The sequence below is a fragment of the Homo sapiens genome, chromosome 12, assembly GCF_000001405.40.
Source record: "Homo sapiens chromosome 12, GRCh38.p14 Primary Assembly".
Lineage (NCBI taxonomy): Eukaryota > Metazoa > Chordata > Mammalia > Primates > Hominidae > Homo > Homo sapiens.
The window spans coordinates 129,419,447-129,433,585 of record NC_000012.12 but is presented as its reverse complement, the minus strand read 5'-3'; the positions used below and the strand labels follow the sequence as shown (position 1 = coordinate 129,433,585).

Below are 14,139 nucleotides of genomic sequence, written 5' to 3'. Positions count from 1 at the left end.
ACTGGAAGAAAGAAGTACCAGCAAGGGAAAAATTGTAATTGTATTTGGGTTATTTTTTGCCCATGTGTCAAGCTCTCCTGACACAAGGAGGATCAACGAGAAATGCTTGAACCAGGTGAAGGAAAAGAAAGCAATGAGGGGAAATAAACAATTTTATATCAAATATTACCAATTAATTGAGAGTGCGGAATTACTGGAACCTTCATACACTGCTTCTAGGAGTTTAAATTGGTATTAAACATTGAAAAAGTGTTTGGTAATAATTACTAAGGTTAAACAGAGGCAGTCTCAATTACTCAGCAATTTTACTTCTATATATATACCCAAGATAAATGTGTATGTTTGTTTACCAAAGACATGGGCAAGAATGTCCCTGGTATCACTATTTGTAATAGCTAAAACCTGGAAACAACGTAAAGTCCATGACCAGTAGAATGAATAAGTAACTTGTGGCATAGAACAGTATGCAGCAAAGATGAAGTGTAAGTGATGGGAATCTAGATGGATGAGCCTCAGAGACATCATGTTGAGTACAAAGGAGCGAAATACAAAAGTGTACACATCATGTGATTCCACTTCTATAAAAGTTTTAAACAGATGAAACTACCCTATGTTGCCAGAAGTCAGGGTAATGTTTACCCTGGGGGTAGGTTCTACCTGCAAGGTGACCCAAGGGGCCATGGGTTTCTGGCAGAGTTCAGCTTGAGGTATGTGTGTTGATCTGTAACATTGTTCACCTTGCACTGACCCATCCATCTGCACACTAATGATTCATGCATTATATGTTTATTATACAAAAAGAAAAGTTTCCATAGAAAACATGTATCCTCCTTAATTTGCCCACATAGAATTAACACACATTTCTTTTACCTGGGCTATGGGTAATTGAGACTTGAGTATTTTTTAAATTAATTAAAAGGAGGTGGCCCAGAAATGGTTACTGCAAATGTCTACTCTTGGTATATATTACTTGAATTTCACGCCAAAGATGTCTCACACTACAGAGTCACATAAGGGAATGCTGAGACCACTCTCATTCCTTTATGGCCCATGCCAATGAAGAAAAGTTGTCTTACTTATACACCCGTATTTGGCAAATGACTGCTATGTCTCAGACATGATTTAAGGCACTTGTAGATGCAGCATTGAACAAAACACAAACAAAAACCCACTCTTCTCTCGTGGAGCTCACATTATAGTAAATGGAAATAAAATCCATCCACCCATCCATCCATTCATCCATCCATCCATCCATCCATCCATCCAAGCATCCATCCATCCATCCATCCATCCAAGCATCCATCCATTGATCCATCCATCCTTCCATCCATCCAAGCAACCATCCATCCATCCATCCATCCAAGCATCCATCCATCCATGCAACCATCCATCCATCCATCCATCCATCCATCCATCCATCCATCCAAGCATCCATCCATCCATCCATCCATCCATCCATCCACCTATCCATCCATTCATTCATCCATATGCAACATAATTATAGTGATAAGAGTCTAGAGATGGGTACAGCAAGGTGATGATATAGAATTGTGGTCAGGGTGAAATGTTGTATCAAGTGATAGGGGAAGTTCTCTCTGACGTTGCAACATCTGAGCAGAGATCTAAAAGATTTGCATATATGTGGGAGAGGAGCACTAAAGACAGAGGAAACTGCAAGTGCAAAGGTCCTGGGGCAGGCATGTGCTTGGTGTGTTCAAGGAAAGCAAGAAAGCCAGTGGGAGGGTGCAGAAGAGCAACAGGGCATGAGGGGAGGTGGACCAAAGACATAGGCAAAGACTAGACCTTATAGGGACTTGAGCAGGATGTGCAGGTTTAAGTTTTTACCCAGAGTGAGATGGGAAACCCATGGAGGTTTCCAGCAGGAGAGTGGCATAATCAGAATTCATATATGGATGTTGCATGAACGGTAAATTGCTGGGCTCAAAGGTAGAAGCAGCATGAGCAGGCGGCTGTTGTAAAATGCAGGAGGGAGGTGACCTTGGCTTGCACCAGGGCAGGAGTGATAACGCTGGTGTGATGTGGTTAGAACCTGGATCTACTTTTGTGAAGTAGAGCCCACAGTATGCAACTCAGTCCCCAAAAGGCATCCCGTGTGCATAGTTCTGGAGAAGCCAAGAGACACTTCGAGCATCTGGATGTGCAGGCTCTCAGCCTAGATACGACAGATGTGTCTTTGCCATAAATCCCCTGTGAGAGATAAACAGGGAAGAAATTTGGCTTCTGGAAAATCTGAAGCAGAGAGGGAGAACGATTTGGGAAATCCAGAGATGTAGCACATGGCAGTGGGAACAACACAGACTCCAGGCTTAGCTGCTGGAACTGTCGAGTAAGTTACTGAAGCTCCGCGTCCTTATCGGTAAACAGGGAATAATGGCAGGAGCTACCTCAAGGGCTACTTGTGAGAACTAAATGAGGTAGAGGCTGGAAGGGAACCATCTCAGCTGCTGTTATAACAATGCGTAGCAGCCGCTCTCTTCTCCATTCCTGGAAGCCCCCTGCCCAAGACAGAGAACACAAGTCTGAATTTCTGGGATTGCACCCAATGGGCCTCAGCTGACTGTGATTGATATTTAATCATAGAGCAGATTCCCTCCATCAGGCATGCGCCTGGAAGCCCAGACAGAGGATGATGCTGGTATCCAACTAATTTGGTTTAAAAGTGTACCTGTCTCCCCCCACTCTCCTGAGCTCTTTCCCTATCTACCTCCCCCATTTTAAGGAGTGAATAAAAGAACACCTTTTTCTTTCTGTAAGCCTCCATCCCATCGACTGCAATTATTGGCAACTGGGGAAGTCTGAGGCGCAGGGAAGGCCAAGTTCACCAGCGTTTATTATGTATCTGCCTGATGTCAGGGACTACTGAATTCTCATAATCAACCCTCTAATGTCACCATTTCACAGATGAGAAAACTGAGGCTGAGTGGGATTTAGGGATGTTACATACTAGTTAAAGAGTAGAACTGGGCTGGGTGTGGTGGCTCAATCCTGTAATCTAGCTCTTTGGGAGTTCCAGGCAGGAGTATCGCTTAAGCCCAGGAGTCTGAGACCAGTGGGACCCCATCGCTACAAAAAATAAGAAAAACAAAGGGCTAATATGCAGAATCTATAATGAACTCAAACAAATTTACAAGAAAAAACCCCATCAAAAAGTGGGCGAAGGATATGAACAGACACTTCTCAAAAGAAGACATTTATGCAGCCAAAAGACACATGAAAAAATGCTCATCATCACTGGCCATCAGAGAAATGCAAATCAAAACCACAACGAGATGCCATCTCACACCAGTTAGAATGGCGATCATTAAAAAGTCAGGAAACGACAGGTGCTGGAGAGGATGTGGAGAAATAGGAACACTTTTACACTGTTGGTGGGACTGTAAACTAGTTCAACCATTGTGGAAGTCAGTGTGGTGATTCATCAGGGATCTAGAACTAGAAATACCGTTTGACCCAGCCATCCCATTACTGGGTATATACCCAAAGGATTGTAAATCATGCTGCTATAAAGACACATACACACGTATGTTTATAGTGGCACTATTCACAATAGCAGAGACTTGGAACTAACCCAAATGTCCAACAACAATAGACTGGATTAAGAAAATGTGGCACATATACACCATGGAATACTATGCAGCCATAAAAAAGGATGAGTTCATGTCCTTTGTAGGGACATGGATGAAGCTGGAAACCATCATTCTCAGCAAACTATTGCAAGGACAAAAAACCAAACACCGCGTGTTCTCACTCAGGTGAGAATTGAACAATGAGAACACATGGACACAGGGAGGGGAACATCACACACCGGGGCCTGTTGTGGGGTCGGGGGAGGGGGGAGGGATAGCATTAGGAGATATACCTAATGCTAAGTGACGAGTTAATGGGTGCAGCACACTAACATGGCACATGTATACATATGTAACAAACCTGCACATTGTGCCCATGTACCCTAAAACTTAAAGTATATTAAAAAAAAAAAAAAGAAAGAATTAGCTGGGTGTGGTGGCACACACCTGTGTCTCAGCTACTTGGGAGGCTGAGGTGAGAAAGGTTTCCCAGTTTTCCTGTTTCCTTGTGGAAGCCAAGGCACCAGCTCCCTGGGGGGGCCTCTTCTTTGGGGTTTTTCTAGAAGTCATCCCTAAATCCCATAGCCTGTTTCTTCAACACCAATGACAAACAAACAAACAAACAAACAAAAAACTATAAAGCAATTTCCTCTATTAAATCCCTTTCTGCTTACACTACTAGAGTGGTTTCTGTGAATGGCAGCTGTCCCCTGACTGACAGATTCAGCTCGTCTAACTCTGAATCCAGGCTCTTCCCATCAAGTGCAGAGCAGAATCCACAACTACTTGGTCAGGCCAACTTGAAGGACTTTGGACTACAGTGAGGAACTTGAAGGACTTTGGACTACAGTGAGTAACTTGAAGGATTTTGGACTACAGTGAGTAACTTGAAGGACTTTGGACTACAGTGAGTAACTTGAAGGATTTTGGACTACAGTGAGTAACTTGAAGGACTTTGGACTACAGTGAGTAACTTGAAGGACTTTGGACTACTGTGAGTAACTTGAAGGATTGTGGACTACAGTGAGTATAAACTGCTTAGTGCAACTAAGTGGCAAAATTCACACTTCCTCATTTACTTTCACGGAGTCTTCTGTTTCCAAAGATTTCTGCAGCTATGCCCAGGCCAAATTCTGGGAGCCTTCCAAGCAATTGCTGAAGCAATTTTCCCTGGTCCCCTCTCGCTCAGTCGTGATATTAATTCATGGTTCTCATCAAGTGCTTTCTTAGGGAGTAAGGACTAAGTGATGAAACAGCTTTTCCCTTGAGAAAATGCCCAAGACACACATTTACATAAAACACATAATGCCTCTGGAAGCCAAATACCGTTTTATATCAGCTACCATGAATATGTAAAATTGAGAGCTGATGCTTGCTAATATATTTCTCAGCTAAGGAAAATAAGAATTTTGTCCCAGGGCTACAAATAAACAAATAAATAAAAAATCAAAGTCTCTGAAATCTCTCCAGCATACGTAGTGGTGAAATTCCTCCTCCAAGTAATAACACAGGTTAAGAATTCTTTAACATGTGTCACATTAGACACAAAGTTGCAAAATAGAAAAATGCAAATTGGAATCCTTCAGTGCCTTGGCATTCAGCCTTTCAATTTCACACTCCAGCCTTGATGGTTTTTGTTTCTTGTTGTTACTACTGTTGTTGGTGTTTTACACAACAGATTTTTCTGAATATTCATAAAAGTAAAAAGATGCTGTTGTGCTGTAACATCTTTATGTAAAGCACACCTGGATGCTGAATTATCCCATTTAAACAATAACTTTTAAAGTATCCAATTTTAAAATGGGTTTCCGTATTTGTAAGAAAGAACAGATTTCTTATTTTCTAGGACATCACCTCTGACCTTTCATCTTCCTGGTTTTCTCTTTTGTTTTTGTTTGCTTGTGGTCCCTGTTTCCTCTCTTCTCTTTATGGATTTTGTGTTTTTGTTTATTGGGTAGGTGGAATCATTCATTATTATATATGAATTTTTATAGAAGTGTAAATTTCCCATGGAGAAATTTCTGTTTATCCGAGAGAGGATTGAAAACACAGAGCAACTGCAGGAGAGATAAGATAAGATAAGGTGTTTCGGATCAACTCAGCGGGACTTAATACCTGAAAGATCTGTTAATACAGCAATTAAAGTAAAATTTTCCCTTAAAGTAAAATCAGTTTTAATATCTATTGCATTGCGGTACCCTAAGACCTGGTTTTGTTTTGTTTGGGTTTGGTTTTGATTTTGATTTTGGTTTTGTTTTTTTTTAATTTTCCTCCTCTAGAAAATTTACAAGATTTTCTTTCTTCCAGGAATGTGATTTTTTAAAGTGCACTTTAGTTTTACCTTTTACTAACAAAAACTGGGATGCATAGTGCATCCGAATGACTAGGACCAGTCTCAACACAGAGGCTTCCTTTCTTTTATTTATTTATTTCTTTATTTTTATTATACTTTAAGTTTTAGGGTACATGTGCACAACGTGCAGGTTAGTTACATATGTATACATGTGCCAAGTTGGTGTGCTGCACCCATCAACTCGTCATTTAACATTAGGTATATCTCCTAATGCTATCCCTGCCCCCTCCCCCGACCCCACAACAGGCCCCGGTGTGTGATGTTCCCCTTCCTGTGTCCATGTGTTCTCATTGTTCAGTTTCCACCTATGAGTGAGAAGGAGGCTTCCTTTCTTGATGCGTCCTTAGCATTGGACTTCATCTGAAAAAGAGAAGGAATGATGCTGCGTGATTATGATGCCCCACCTGAGGCTTCACCCCGTATGTTATTTGTTTTCCTGTCTTTTACCATCCATATAGTTTTGTTTTAACTCTAACTAGGATTCAAATCCATACATATAGATGGTAAACATGCAAACAAGAGTATATTTGAGCACTGACAAGACAAGGATCATCCAGCATGTGTGCTTCCCATATGGGATCGTATTTATTTCTTGCAAACATCCTTTGAGGTTGGCTCCACTGCCCCTGTCTTATAGGAGCAAATTAAGCTTTAGTAAAGGAAAGTGACTTTCCCAAGGCCCTATAGCTCTCTAGCTGTGTATCTCTAAGCTAGCCTGCACATTCCACCTATGAGAGGCCACGGGTGAGAATGAGTAACACATGCGCTTTGAAGGCGTGCTGCATGCACAGTGCCACAGCTCCCGCTTCTGCCACCTCCTAGCTGTGTGACTTTGGGGGAATTACTTCTCTGTGCCTCGGTTTTCCTCTTTGAAAAACGGTGATAATAATCCTTCCCTCCTGTGATTGTTGTGGGATTTAAATGTAGTTAATATATATAAAGAGTTTGGCTTAGAGTAAGCACATGTGTCAGCTGCCAATGTTGGTATTATTATTTCGAACCTTATGCTCAATAAGCGCTTGCTCCAATGTCTTAACCATCTGAGACATGATGGAGAGGGAGTGTGCTCAGCCTCTTGGCACAGTGATGGAGATTCCTGAGATAGTTCTAGGACCTTTGGAGCCTGAAGATGACCTGACTGAGACATCAGTGTGGCAACCACTGCCAATTGCTTTCCCCAAACTCTGCTATCCTTCTTCTTACTTACAGAATCCTGAATGTGTGCAGGAGAATAATAGGCATTTAAACTGATTTATTTCTGAGCCTCCTTGCTCCTAGGTGTGGTCGTAGGAAACAGTTCCCCAGCGGTTTCTGGAGAGGTTTTGCTTGTCTGATTAGGGAACCTCCTTTCTCCTGCTGTTTTCTTCCTCATAATTTCCCTTCCTAAATATTGGCAGGGGGAGGGAGATGGTGTAGCCATCTCATAACCATGAGGCAGTCATGGGATGAAAACCATGCAGGGAAGACAGCAGGACATGAAGAGAGAAGGAGCTGCCATGCAGACCCTTCGAGAAAAATGAATTCTTCCTCTGATTTGAGTTACAGGCAGCTGAACACAATCTCCATCTAATACAAATAGCGATCTTCAGTGCAGCTGGCTGGAGAAGTGGTTATCTTTCTGCTGCCAGTGTTGTGGGTCCTGCAAATACTGGGCACTACCCATAGCAACATCCTATTCTCAAAGCATCTGCCATTTGTCATATTGTCCTGCCAAAGCTTTCGTGATAAAACAGCTTTTCTTTCCATGTTGGCTCGTTGCTCCATTGCCTATGTGGCGTTGGGAAGTCGACTCAACTTTTCCAAACATTAGTCTCCAAGTCTGTAGACTAGAGACGATTATCACTACTTCACATGGATCTTTATTGTTTACGCACAATGAAGCAGGTAATGACCTCAGTAGAAACCTGCTCTTAGAAAATGTTCAATAAATGTCAGCTGCAAATACCACATCCTCTCCCCAACATCAGTGTTCCAGTGTTACCTCTATTGATTGGCTGTGTCAGATAGGAGCAACATTCCACTCCAGAAACAGAAGGCATTTTAGGATGTATTAGGGGGTTGTGTGGCCACTTTGTTCTTGACTGCCAGGTTGTTCATTAGTCATATGCGTGTTTATTGTGTTTCCAAGATGTTTTGCAAAGAACATTAAGCCAGTCATGTCAATTAACGTAAAGTCAGGAAGACTGTAAATGTTTCTACTATGATGGAAGCAAAAGCAGAGATTAGAAAAAAAAAAAAAGTGCAAGCATCTGGGGAAACAGGAGCCCACGTATGTTGCTGGTGGGAATGGAAAATAGTGCAGCAACTTTGGGAAGCTTCCTCAGTTTCTTAAAACATTAAATACAAAAATTTCCCATATGGGCCAGCAGTTTCAAGTGCTAGATATCTGCACAACAGATGAAATTACAGATCTACCTAAAAACCTGCGCATGAACGTCCTTAGCACCATTATTCATAATAGCTGAAAACTGGAACGAACACAGACATTTTTCAGCTGATGTATGTTATATCCATAAAATGGAATACTATTCAGCAATACAAAATAATGGATTACTTATACGTCCTTTGACATGGGTGACCTCAAACTCATTACCCTAAGGGAAAGAAGCAGACACCAGAGACCGCATGTCCAGAACAGACACATCTATAGAGACAGAAAGTAGATTGATTAGTGGTTGCCTGAGGCTGCAGGTGGGGAGCGGGATGGACTGTAAATTGGCATTAGGAATCTTTCTAGGGTGATGAAAACGTCCTAAAATTCACTTAGGATGATGGTTTTACAAGTTGACGAGTTTAAAGTCTTTTTATACGCTTTAAATAAGTAAATAATGTTCTAAATATGTCTCAATACACTTGTTTTATAATCCTCAAACAGATTCAAAGTGAGGAGTTCATTATGTGTGTTGAGATGTCTTTTTTTTTTTTTTTTTTTTTTTTTGAGATGGAGTCTCGCTCTGTCACCCAGGCTGGAGTGTAGTGGCGTGATCTCAGCTCACTGCAAGCTCCGCCTCCCGGGTTCACGCCATTCTCCTGCCTCAGCCTCCCGAGTAGCTGGGACTACAGGTGCCCACCACCACGCCCGGCTAATTTTTTTGTATTTTTAATAGAGAGTAGAGACGGGGTTTCACCATGTTGGCCAGGATGGTCTCAATCTCCTGACCTCATGATCTGCCCGTCTCGGCCTCCCGAGATGTCTTTGAAAACAGAAAGCATCCTGCAAGGTAGAGAGTATCATCCAATGGGTGGAAAATGCCTTCCTAAGCAAAAATCATGGAGAAGGAAAAGAGGATGTATGGGAAAACTTTTGAGTGCGTGACTAGAGAATGTGACCACCTACATTCTTGGTGTGAACTAAGGAGAAACTAATACTTTATTGAGAAACAGTGTTTAAAAACTATGCTTCCCGCTCATGCGATATTTGTCATAGATTTTTTTTTTTTTTTACAAAAAAATTTACAGATCGCTTCTTTGAAAGTAAATCATCCATACAGAGAGATGCTCCTACATTTCATTAGAATTATTAGTATGAATTATAGTTATAATGATATATGTTAATAATAGTCAACTGTCGTTAGTATCAAAAAATGTAGTACTTATAGAAGACAATAAAGGCTTCTTTGCTGAACGGGTAACAAAAGGCTGGAAAATTTTTATGTCATTTTCTAAAAATGTCAAATATTTTCTCAGCCAAAGCTACCTGGGCAGCCTAACCTATGAGGCTGTTACGAACTGAAGGAATTTAAGATTTATAATTTCTTTGTCATTAATGAAATTTATTTCATGCTCTAAATTGCTCTGATTGGAAAACATTGCTTTTTAAAAATTAGGAAGCAGTGGGTGGTAGCTTTCCTTGTCAAAAGCTGTGACATATTTCTAGTCCGAGTCAATGGGTATTACCATAAATAATATTGAAAGTTCGTGTTGAGGAAGGCATTTTCTAAGGGTCTGTCCGTATTAGCATACTAGCTCTTCTACTCATGAGTACAAGCGCTTCCCTTTCCCGTCATAGAATGCCTACCTGAACAGCATCTTGGGCTAGGTGAGTGACACAGACTCTCATTCACCAGTCCCCTTCCCCTCCTGTGGAAGACATTGATAATTAATCATGGTGTCCTTTTCCATAGAGCCCTACAACCCCTACATCCCCTACAAATCATCCAGATTTGGCTCTTGAAATCCATTTGCTAACCCAACCCTAGAAGAACCAGATCCCCAGTGAGCGTGTTGCCGGATGTTGCAGAAGAGAGTGGCTTCCTCTGACAAGGCAGTGCAGGCACAGTTATCAGCGGCTATAGGCACTCAGCCAAGTTATTCCACCTTGGCTGATTTTCCTTAGTTTTATTCTAGTTTGCAGAGCACTGTTTCCTGTTTATGTGTAGGAAAAGGAAAACAAAGGAAATCATCACGTGATAGATTTCAGACTTAAAATGTCAGACATGTGACTCTAAATGAGGGTTTGTATATGTGTGTATGTGTGTGCATATGAATTGAGATTTATTTTTTTAATTTAGAAATTGTTCTGTGTACTCTTCCAGGTAAATATATAGAAATATCTATATTTATATAAAGATGTACATATATATATATGTATATACATGTATATGTGCTTTCTCTGATGAGGCAGTGAAGACACAGTTGTCACTGGTTGTAGACAGCCATGTTGTTCCACTGTGGCTTACTTTCCTTCGTTGATTCTAGTTTTCCTTGGTTTTATTCTGCATGTATGTATGTATACATAATACGTATATGTATACATATATATATATATACACATATATGTATGTATAGAGAAAGATTGAATTCTTTCTCTTTGAAATACCTGCATAATAAACAGAATCATTTTATCATAATGTATTCAATCATTTACCTGTTGACAGTAGTCTTTTCCTGATATTTTTATCAGTATAAATAATTCTGCACTTATCCTTACTTACTGGTGATTTTCTTTGTGTAGATAAATTCACAAGTGAGATTTATGGCTCAAAGAATATGTAAATTGTTGACTTCGATAGACATGGCGAGATTAATTTCCAGAAAGTTAATGCAATTTATTTGCCTGACATTGTTGGCAAGACACTAATTTATTTGCAACCTTTTCAGACCTAGATGTTAATCTAATTCTTGCTAATCTGATGAGGGAACTGTTATCTTTGTGGTTTTATTTTGCATTTATTTGACCACTGATGAGAAAGAGCATTCTTCAGATGTTTACTGGCCTTTAGCAACTCCTCCTCTGTGACTTGCCCATTGACATCCTCTGCTAATTTTTTGTTCTATCAAGTTGTTTATCTTTATCACTTTGGAGGTGTTCTCTTCTTATTATGTGAGAAGCAATATTTGTGACATTGATACAGCAATAATATACCCCTCTTTCTGTTTTGTTTATGGTGATTTTCGCCAATAAAATTTAAAAAATTGTATAGATATTCTTTTTTTGTCTCTTGCTTAGAATGTTTCGTCAAACCCAAATATGTAAACGTTCCCTTAAATATTAACATTAGTGTCAGTAGGAGATGAGAAGAAAAGTAGAAAAGCTTTTTTTTTTTTTTTAACATTGCTGTATGGTTTAATTGCAATGAGCATGAGTGAATTTTATAATTGAAACTATAGTTTTAAAAAGGGAAGATGGGGAAGGATTTGACCGCGAAGGCACAGGAGAAGGAAAGAATCTGGGGGAACGATGGCATTGTTCTGTACCTTCACTTTGGTAGACACACACCTGTGCATTTGCCACAACTCAGACTGAATTTTATTGCATGCTAATTAAAACTTGCTTTAAATAAATTTGAGATGAGGAAAGATTTTCCATTCCTGTATGAGTCTATCTTTACCATGATGACAAAACTTGGCAATCATTCAAAAATGAAGAAAAATGTTTGCTATGTCATTTATAAACACGGGTACAAAAGCCATACATAAAACATTAACAAACAAATCCAGCAGTGTATCAAAAATATAGCCAAGTAAAGTTTATTTTAGAATGTAGCCCATTAGGAAGTCAACATTAGGACATCAGGGCTGCTAGTAGAAAATCTATTGATTCAGGTTTCTTAATCTCAGCACTGTGGACCTTTTGAAATAGGTAGTTCTTGTTTCTAAGGGTTGGGAGGATAGTTGTTCTGGAAACTGAAACATGTTTAGGAGCATCTCTGGTCTCCACCCAAGCAATGTCATAGCATGCTCCCCCATGGGGTGCGACAAGCACAAATGTATCCAGACATGTCTCTAGGGAGAGCAAAAATCTCCCTCACATGAGAACCACTGGATTAGTGTAGCTGATTTGTGAAGTAAATGAAGAAACCTTTGGTTATTTTAATGGATGCTGAATACAATTGTCTTGTGATACATACTATGATCTCCTCACTTTAAAAATAGATCCACTAGGCCAGGCATGGTGGCTCACGCCTGTAATCCCAGCACTTTGGGAGGCTGAGGCAGGCGGATCATTTGAGGCCGGGAGTTCGAGACCAGCCCGAACAACATGGTGAAACCCCATCTCTACCAAAAAATATGAAAATTCGCTGGGTGTGATGGCGGGAGCTTGTAATCCCAGCTACTCAGGAGGCTGAGGCAGGAGAATCTCTTGAACCCGGGAGGCAGAGGTTGCAATGAGCTGAGATTGCGCCACTGCACTCCAGCCTGGGTAACAGAGCGAGACTCTGTCTCAAAAAAAAAAAAAAAAAGGTAGATCTACCAACAGCTCGGACTGTTAGATAAATAAAAGTAGAGGGGAATTAGCCAGTTAGAGATTATATAAAAAACCCACATCAAACTCCATACCTAACAATTGTATTGGAAACACAAAAACATTCCTGGGTTGTCTCACCAGCAAATACATTCCCACGAAGTGTTCAATGTCAAAAGGTATTAGAGGTTGCAGTTAACTTTGTGTGATTTTAGTTGGAGACAGATTTCAGAGTGAAGCAAAAAATGAAGGTGTTCACCAGGGGTCTTTATCGCTTGCCAGCTTGCTGAGCGTTGGTTGGGCTCCACACATCCTTGGCAGTGGGGTTAATTATTTGCCTTTGTAACTTCCTGCAGGACTTCAGATTCTTGAGAAGCACACAACCAACCCAGCACAAGAAATTGCTTTCCTTTTGCCTGTTGCGGCTGTCCTGTTGGGTAGAATTTTTCCCCTGCTGTTTTCTTCATTTATTTGACAGCCTTCGATGATACTCTGTCTGGAAACTGTGCTTCACGGTATTTGAGATGGTTTGGGACCGGACAGCACTCATTTGTAAACCTGTCAGAAGCAGGTTTTGTAGGAAAGATGATTGACAGTTATCCTTACAAATGGCAGTGGCCCAGATACTGCAAAAAAAAAAAAAAAAAAAAAAAACAGAGAACGTGCAATAATTTGAAATTAACTTCATAATGTTGTTTGGGATACTTAGAGAATATGAAACACGGTACAGTGTCTTGGCTGTGTGTTTTCTATAGCCGGGACACCATCGGTGGGAGCATTCTTCCTGCTGATGCTATCGCAGACACCAGCAACTGCCCACAGCACACCTTTCCTCTGAGCTGGTGTGGGCTCAGGTCCTCCTCAACACAGCCCTCTGGGACCTCAGTACCAAGCTCCAAGTGTGGCCTTTTAAGATGAAACTGATTCACCCAATGTGCCTTAAATGTATATTTACAATAATGTTAATTTTCTGAGTTCATTTTGGGCAGATGATGACCTATGGTCAACTGGGAATATTTTAAAAACTTCCCTAGAAAATAAATTAGCCTCAAGTGACCCACCCCCTCCCACATAAATTAGTTTACCTTAAAATCAGTTGAGACACAATTATATGAAATCTCTAAACATAACTTGCCACATCTAAAACAAAAGGCCATAGACTTGGCATTTTATATTCATATAGCAGACAACTGCTTCCAATGGGGCAGGATTCAATTATAGATGCAGTAAAGACATCACAATATAGACTTATTCAAAAGACATTATATTTAGTATTCTCTTCATTGTAAGTAGCAGAAAATGCAACCGGAGGCAGATTAGCCATAAAGAATTATATTATTAGCTTATGCAACTGAGAAGTTAAGTGGTATTTCTGGTTTCCAGCAAAACTTTAATGAATATTTTAAAGGATGTTATCAGGAACAGTCTCTCTCTCTCTCTCCTTCTGTCCCTTACCATCCTCCTTCTGCTAAAGTTTTCATCCTTACACTGTGCACAGTGCCCCTCCTAGTACC

At 40.5% G+C, this 14,139-nt stretch overlaps 1 protein-coding gene across 1 annotated transcript in view, besides 3 other annotated features; it reads left to right on the top strand.

Annotated features, from left to right (window-relative positions):
* The window catches only part of TMEM132D (transmembrane protein 132D), an 832,300-nt gene that overhangs the window by 470,440 nt on the left and 347,721 nt on the right, over positions 1-14,139 (top strand). The window lies entirely within an intron of this gene.
* Positions 7,668-7,837: an enhancer, noted in NCBI's record as "experimental_25487 CRE fragment used in MPRA reporter constructs". NCBI's record gives its function as "activates a minimal promoter by MPRAs in K562 erythroleukemia cells, with activity observed for the introgressed 12:129910379 variant allele {active_cell/tissue: K562}" and the evidence as "EXISTENCE:reporter gene assay evidence [ECO:0000049][PMID:34662402]".
* Positions 7,668-7,971: a biological region, named in NCBI's record as "Neanderthal introgressed variant-containing enhancers experimental_25486 and experimental_25487".
* Positions 7,802-7,971: an enhancer, noted in NCBI's record as "experimental_25486 CRE fragment used in MPRA reporter constructs". NCBI's record gives its function as "activates a minimal promoter by MPRAs in K562 erythroleukemia cells, with activity observed for the non-introgressed 12:129910245 variant allele {active_cell/tissue: K562}" and the evidence as "EXISTENCE:reporter gene assay evidence [ECO:0000049][PMID:34662402]".